Source organism: Homo sapiens, chromosome 5, assembly GCF_000001405.40.
Source record: "Homo sapiens chromosome 5, GRCh38.p14 Primary Assembly".
NCBI classification, from domain to species: Eukaryota; Metazoa; Chordata; class Mammalia; order Primates; family Hominidae; genus Homo; species Homo sapiens.
In genome coordinates this window covers 51,927,831-51,936,537 of record NC_000005.10, presented here as the reverse complement: position 1 = coordinate 51,936,537, position 8,707 = coordinate 51,927,831, and the positions used below count along the sequence as shown (strand labels likewise).

The following is an 8,707-nucleotide window of genomic DNA, read 5'->3' as shown; positions in this document are numbered from 1 at the left end:
CAAAATGCTATATTTTTATGTAAATCAATATGATTCATCATATTATTTGCTTTTAAAAATGTATGATTTTTTTCTTTTTTGAGACGGCGTCTCGACCTGTTGCCCAGACTGGAGTGCAGTGGCGCAATCTCGGCTCACTGCAAGCTCTGCCTCCCGGGTTCATGCCATTCTCCTGCCATAGCCTCCCGAGTAGCTGGGACTACCGGCACCCGCCACCACGCCTGGCTAATTTTTTGTATTTTTAGTGGAGACGGGGTTTCACAGTGTTAGCCAGGATGGTCTCGATCTCCTGACCTCGTGATCTGCCCATCTTGGCCTCCCAAAGTGCTGGGATTACAGGTGTGAGCCAACGCGCCTGGCCAAAAATGTATAATTTTTTGAATAAAATTTTGAGAAAAGTGATTCATTAACATGTCCATCTCTGTTCAGCTATTTGAATAAAGATTCTTTAGCTTGGGGACATTTTTTACTTCTCAGCATGCCAGTTTCCTCAGAAATGATCGACACACCTATCAGTAGGATCTTCAGATTCGCTGAACTTTTGTTAGTCTCCCTAATCAAGAAATAAGCCATATTTCACAAAGAAATAGTCATTTATAAATTTATAAAGGTAACATAAAGTCAGTTATTATGGACTCAAATTACTGCACAAACGTTCATATGCAAAAACAGGTGTGAATCTGATTTTAAATTAATAAGACCTGGCCAGGCGTGGTGGCTCACGCCTGTAATTCCAGCACTTTGGGAGGCTGAGGCAGGCAGATCACGAGGTCAGGAGATGGAGACCATCCTGGCTAACACGGGGAAACCCCGTTTCTACTAAAAATACAAAAAAATTAGCCAGGCATGGTGACAGGCGCCTGTAGTCCCAGCTACTCAGGAGGCTGAGGCAGGAGCGTGGCGTGAACCCGGGAGGCAGCCCTTGCAGTGAGCCGAGATCGCACCACTGCACTCCAGCCTGGGCGACAGAGCGAGACTCTGTCTCAAAAAAAAAAAAAAAAAAATTAAAAATAAATAAATAAATAAATAAATAAGACCTTCAGTGTGCTTGCATAATTGAATCTTATAATTTATGGAATAATGAACAGGTATTGGTCTTTGAGGTCTAAGATAAATTTAAATTATCAACTAAAATAATTGTGAGCCAAGATTTGGTATGTATGCTAAAAGATGTATCTCTGCTTACACGTCACATGTATTAAATTTGCTGTTTTGTGCTATGGAGAAAATCATTTCAAAATATGGTAGCAAGTAATAGAAATGGTTTAATTCTTTCTGAACTCTTACTTCCATCAAAGTAACAACAAAGTTTGAAAGTTTAGAAAATGAGACTGTTGGGAAAACAAACTCAGAATATAAGAAGTTCCTGGGATGCCAGTGATAATAAGGTTGTATAGTCATCAAAATTTTATTATTATTGATGTAAATTTCTTCAAGTAGTTATTACACTATCTTCCTGTGCCCAAAAGCTCCTGGTCCATTTTGTATCAGGCATCTCTCAAGTAGATGCTCATAGGCCACCCAATATTTTGTATGTAAATACTCCTTGAGCAAGTGTATGTGCCTCTTGCCGCAGAGCGGTATGGAAATATTTATAGCACAATTTTAATTTATTGTTGCTTTTCCCATTCTTCTGTATTTATCTGGGCCTGAAAATTATCACCCCTTACCATAATTGGAAACACACACACACAACACTCAAATTCTGTAGTTTCAGAGGAAAATAAAATGAAATTTCATGAGTTGGCATATGCCTGTTTTGGCCTATCACCTTCTTTGCTTGCCTCCAATAGCAGGGGTAATTATAAGTTCACTATATTTTATCACTTGACTTTATCTGTCAAAATGTTGTTTTAAAACGCATATGCCTGCTGTTTTTAAGTCCTTCTGCGTCCCAGCTGAGGCCTTTGTGCAGAAAATGTTACAGTTGTGCCTTTTTTTCCTTGCTATCTGGGACAGAAGGAGAGTGTAGGTAACCATTGGTGAGCTAACCAAGAACTTCAATAACTCCCACAGGAAGAGCCGGTAGGGAGTTTGTATTTTTGGCCATGAATCCAGGACTTTCATTTTAAGTTCCAGGGTGCGTCATGCAGTTGAGCACTGATTGAATGGGGGCACTGGAGGCTCTAGGGATCAAGCTGTGACATTTTTCTGATCCTGAAGGCTGCTCACAGTCATTACTGCACAGGCCTTGCTGACTGCTACTTCAGGGAAACACAGGGAGAAGGAGGTTGTGCTTCCGAGTGTGGGTGGTCGAATAAACTCTTTTAGCAGCAGCAGTTGGTCTATTTAGCCTGAAAAAGAGACCACCAGCAGCCCCCAAAGTGCTAAAAAAAATTACAATCAATTTTAAAAATATATATTATATTACATAAAAGACTATAAGAGCGAGTGCTGAGCATTGCTTTACAGTATTCCCAGCTGCTCAATGAGGCAGTCACATGCAGCCAAGAGGGATTTATCCTGTAACCCAGAGAATTTCCAGCTCTCCCATCATTTTATCCTTCTCTCAGGAGGAAGAGAGAAAAAAAAGTCTAAACAAAACAAAAAAATAGCAGCAGAAAGCAAAAAACACAAACTAGTTTAGTGAAAGTGTATTGACGGAAACTATTGAAATTTAGTATTCTTGAGGCGTACGCTTTGGTTGTGAGTGGTTTAAGGTTAGTTTTTATGTAAAGGGATTTTTAAGGCTCATATATTGGCCTTACATTTAGGTAGTGATTAGGGACCAGCTTATGTCTTCAAATTCATTTAGGATATTAATTGTTAGTATTTTTCTTTAATATTGGTGTTAACAAGGTTTTAAAGGATTGTCTCAAAGTTTTAAAAGACATAAACAAGGCCAGGCGCAGTGGCCCATTCCTATAATCCCAGCACTTTGGGAGGCCCAGCCGGGCAAATCACGAGGTCAGGAATTCGAGACCAGCCTGACCAACATGTTGAAACCTCGACTCTACTGAAAATACAAAAATTAGCCGAGTGTGGGGGCACAGGCCTGTAAACCCAGCTACTCAGGAGGCTGAGGCAGGAGAATTGCTTGAACCTGGGAGGTGGTGGTTGCAGTGAGCTGAGAATGTGCCACTGGACTCCAGCCTGGGCAACAGAGCGAGACTCCACCTCAAAAAAAAAAAAAAAAAGATATAAACAATGTCACTTTACTTAACATTAGTTTAAGAAATTCTTGGCTGCTAGATTTTTTCTAAATGCTAATTTATAATCATAGGTAATACATAAAATATATTGATACTTAAACCATCATATTAAAATAAAGATTTAAAAAAATCTATACTATCAGAAATTCAAATGTCAAGATTATTGCAAGCAACCTATACATAGATGGATTGACTAATGACATCTTAATTTCAAATGTACAGAATACCACCCCTTCCATACTTTGAGATTCTCATCAAACTCCAAACTTAAAGTGCAGTGTGTGAAAGAAATAACTTTTCTAAGACTGTCGTTATGAAAAACCCTCACATTTTGAAGAATTCAGAGATACACCTTGTCTCATAATTCTTCCAGCAATAGGAAACAGTCTCATAATTTTAAAGAACTTTACTTATTGGAACATGTATAGTTAAATTAAACTGAATTATGCACTAACCCCTCCAGGAATCATGTTGCTTTAAGAACCCATACCTGATGTACGAAGGTATTAATGAAATGGGAGAGTTCCCTGATCCCCAGCACAGGATGTACAACAGTGGTGTGGCTCGTCTGTTCAGCGGCCACACACTCAAACCGCTTATGGGAGGGAGAGCACATAGACATGATGATTCTGGCAAAAAGGTCAGATATTTTCAAGTTTTAAAAATGGTATGGAATACGTTTCAACAACACTCCACATGAATATAAACCCCTGATTTAATTTAATGATTTCGTCGTGGCAGAAGCATAGTTGGTTTTAATTTTTTAAAACAGATACTGGTATCATAGGCATTTCACATACACAGTATCTCAGTATGGACAAAAATACTTAAGATTGATTTTTGCCATTGTTTTAAACTTTCATTCTTTTAAATACAAAAAGATAGTCACACATATTTGTTTTTTCAATAAAACACAGTCTTCAAAAAGTTACTTCAAAAAGAGATGATTGCTCTTTAGGGTTCCTAGCCATACACCCTCTCTTAGTTTTTCACACAATAGAAAGTATATTTTTATGCAGGCTTGTGTTAAGATCCAGTAGTTCTTAAATAATGTTAGCAAATAACTATATAAACCCCAAATGCAGCAAGGCCAACATTTTCCATAGTGTACTTTCATCTCATTAAAGTTGAAGCTGCTTCTTTTGGGTATTTTTTCACTTCTATGTGAAGTAGATTGTTATGGTTTCATTAGTGGTTTTATTATGTGGCTTTTTAAAAGAAAAAATGGTTTTAATTTCTTCCACAGTTCAGAGCTCTCGGAAGAAATCTTTTTTTTTTCTTGTAAATTGTATAATCCAGGAATGTTTTGAATAAACAAATGCTCTTTAGTAGATTAAATCTCTCACTGGTAATAAATAAGCATCTACTTCCTTAGCTATATTACCAGTATATCCTGGAACCAAAGTAAGGTGGTTTTCCTGTTCTAACAATCCATTTAACTGTTGTTTTAAAATCTGAATGTTTCCATTATTTATAATTTCTGTTTTGGACAATAGTTCTGACCACCACCTTTTAATGACTGCTTGAAGCCAGTTTAAACCAACTGTTAGGTATTTTTCAAATTTGCTTTTACATAGTGAGTTTACTAGAGGCAACGAGCCTACCCAGCGTTCAAGTAAGATATATTGTTTTTCTCCCTGTAAACTACTGGTGAGCACAGGAAGGCAATCTACCTCAATGCCAAGATCTTCTATTCTCACCAAACAAGCTGCAAATTCACGTATACTTCTTTCTCCAGAAAGTTAAAGATACATTCAGTTTCAAATTCCTGCTGAGCAAAACTTGGGCCATTTGTTTCATGATCCTGAGAAACTTGCGAAAAATACTGACTGTATTGTGATGATGGGCTTTATATCTGTGAAAAATTGGAATCACTGGGGTTAAGCAAATATATTTGCCTACTCTGGCATAATTTTTCAGGCAGGTGGCCTGCACAAACCAGTTCATTTTCTTTATTTGCCACGTCACAGCCCCACTTCTAGGGGACTGTGTTTTTTTGTTTGTTTTGTTTTTCCTATAACAGAGGTTTGGAAAGGGATAATGAACTAACTTTCTATGAAAGATTACCTTACATAGTTTTTGTTTGTTTGTTTTTTGTTTTGAGATAGAGTCTCACTCTGTAGTCCAGACTGGAGTACAGTGGTGCGATCTCGGCTCGCTGCAGGCTCTGCCTCCTGGGTTCACGCCATTCTCCTGCCTCAGCTGGCTGACTACAGATGCCAGCCACCACACCTGGCTAATTTTTTGTATTTTTAGTAGAGATGGGGTTTCACTGTGTTAGCCAGGATGGTCTCGATCTCCTGACCTCATGATCCACCTGCCTTGGCCTCCCAAAGTGCTGGGATTACAGGCGTGAGCCACTGCACCTGGCCAGATTACCTTACCTAGTTTTATCTGGACTTTTGACAGTTCGTCCAACTGTTCTATTTATATAAGCAGCTAACTGTTGAGGTTTCTTAACTTCCTTCTTGTTCTTATTAATGAAATTAGAAATCCTTTTCCTAGGTCCATCAATTAAATGATCCTGAATATTATTTCAAAAGTTCTGCTTTTTAACATTGTGGGTTTCAGATGCCATCATCTCTTAAATACTGGTGTTTCTTGGTTTCTTAGCCCAGCCCTGGCACTGACCAACCATGCCAGGCAGCCTAGAGTTCCCCTTGGCTGTAGGCCAGGCCCTACTCAGGGCCATTTCTACCTTGAGTGTTTCTTAAATCACATCTCTACAAATTCAGTCTTATTCACTGCAATTCTAGATTGAAAAATAGAGATTTGAAAATCTTTTAGATCCATAATCCCTTATTCAATATATCGAGTGTATCTCCAGCAGCATCCAAAATTTGGAAAATGTGACATATATACCCTACAAAATTTCTATCAAGATTCATAAATATTTGTTAAGTGTCTATTGTGTTTATTTGAATACAATTAAATAAGACCTATTTTCTGCATTGAAAGACTTTATAAAACTATAAATTCCATGACAGAGGGACCATACCTGGCCAATTTTGCACTGTGACACTCAGCATCAGCACGGTGCCTGGCGCAATTCAAGTCCATGATGCCTTGGGAATTAATGAGTGGGTGTTGGAGAGGAAGCAGGAATATGAACAACTAATATGATGTGTTGTAACAAATGCCAATCCAATTTCTACCAAAGTTGGGTAAGGGTACAATTACCAAATCTATAACTTGCTGCTAGAACTTTTCCACTACATTCACTTTACTCTAATTGGACACTTCCAGCAAGTTACGTTTAATCCAGCTTTCCTACCAAGGGTATCAAGCACCCTGGTGAATTCAAGATACACTGTGTCCAAAATACTATTCTCAAAACAGACTCTTGATATCCAAGTATAGACTACCTATTAAAAATTAAAATTTTATATATTAAACATCACCTGAGGACCTCCTCTTATAGCTTAGCCAGTGAAGATTTTGTAGGACTGTTAAAAGAAAAACTTCAGATGAATTAAATTTAAAGGAATTTAATTGAACAATGGACAATTCGCGAAGCAGGCAGTCCCCAGAATCACAGCAGATTCAGAGAGACTCCAGGGGTGACTCATAGTCAGAACAAATTCATAGACAAAAAAAGCAAAGTGACATACAGAAATTGGAAGTGAGGTACAAAAACAGTTAGATTGGTTACAGGTTGATGTTTGCCTTATTTGAACACAGTTTGAACACTCAGCAGTGTATGAATGGTTGAAGTATGGCTGCTGGGACTGGCCAAGACTCAGCTGTTGTTACAGGCACATACTCCTAAGTTTGGTTTCTAATCTTGTCTACTTATTAAGTTAGGTTGTAGTTTGTCCACAAGGACTCAAATACAGAATTGTGGAGCCCTTCTCAGGCTATATTTAGTTCACTTTAACAATTCCCCCCTTTTGGTCATTTTCTCAATTTTGAGAGATTGACCAAAACTTTAGTCATTGATGTCACTATCACCATTGCAAATGTACTTATTTGGTCTTGAAACCTACTGAGAAACAGTAGAACAGTGAGTTTTTCAAAGGCAGGAACAAGGACTTGAGTAGAGGGTATCCCTCATACTGTAACATCTTGTTTACAGGAGCAAAACAAAACCTGGTCTCTTCTAGGATCTATGTGTTTCCTTAATGTCTTCGTTTGATTATGTCACATTTAGCATGAGTGACTCCATTTTGGTTTAGTTTGGTCTGTTGGGGCCTAGTGCATAAGCTCAGTCCAAAACAAGGGCCTCCCATAATTTTGTTTAAAAAATTTCACCCCTTTCAGCCAGGTTTTCATTTAGGTGACAGTGTGACCAAAACTTAGGGCCTTAGCACCACTCTCAGTTACCATCATTTTAGGTTTCCAGTCTCAGCATGTCATTCATAGGTTATGGTGTCCTCATTGTTGCACGTTTCTTTTAGCTCTGCATGGTATCTGAAGAGATACCATTTGACATCCTAGAGATGGCTGCATGCAAACATTTAAAACCTTTGAGAGAATACAGAACATCAGGGAGACTATTACGACTATTGGGATGATAATACCAAAAGTTTGGAGTATGTTCCTTACCCAGGGTCCCCATAAACCAAACCATCTAAAACTAAATAGATAAAAGAATGAGCTAAAGAGTCTACTTGCTTAACTAAGTGGTCTTTTCATTAATTTCCTGCCACTGAATCTCTGCAATACCTGATGTCTTCTCCATAGGCCATAAGTGTCAGCAGATACACAGATACTTCTCTGTTTAGCCAATTCTATTATTTAGCATAATTTTCCCAAGAGAATTTAAAGTCTGTTGTGTAAGTATAGTCTTTACAGCAGAATCTGCCATAGAGTCTATTGTGAGGTATACATTTCTATTCATTGCCTCTTTTATTCCAAACCATGGAAAAAGGACCTAACAAACGATGCCCTTCTAGAAGATCGAAGGCCCTCTTGGCAATGTTCTCTTTAACTGATGATGTGGGTTCAGAGGAGTGAACAAATGTTCTGTTTCTGACTGATTATGAGAAAACATATGTACCATTAAAGTTTCTCACATACACTGGGCCTTCACCTATCAAAGTATAAAGTTATCTATGTATAAGGGCAGCTGCAAAATCGGTCACAAATGAAAGTATACTCCATAAGTGCACACAACAGACCCCCTTTTCACTTCTATTGTTCATAAAGGCATAAGCAAGGAAAAAATATTCAAAAATAAGGGTCTCATGATAGTAGAAGTCCTGATCTGTGATCTTGTGAAAAGCTGTTCACATAAAGGATGCCATCTTCCCTGGTTAGCTTTACCTTAAGTGTTCCAGTGGGTATACAATTGCAAGAGTTTGGAGAGACTCTGTTCTCAGTTGTGGGATTATAAATCCAGTTTCAAAGTCCCAAAGTTTTTGCTGTAGTGTGCATAGCAAGGACAGTCTTTTTCTGATGTTCTCAGAGATCCAATCTTCAGATTCTAAATTGTGAAGGGGTTGATTATACCCAGTCAGTGAACCATGAATAGCTTTCTTTACCTGATGAAAATACACTGTAGCACAATAATTTAGTGATATAACATCAGCTCTTTTGCATGGGAAAGCTTTTAT

General features: G+C 38.1%; 1 pseudogene; it reads right to left on the bottom strand.

The window, feature by feature from the left end:
• Positions 1-4,303: 4,303 nt before the first annotated feature.
• On the bottom strand, positions 4,304-5,845 carry KATNBL1P4 (katanin regulatory subunit B1 like 1 pseudogene 4; annotated as a pseudogene).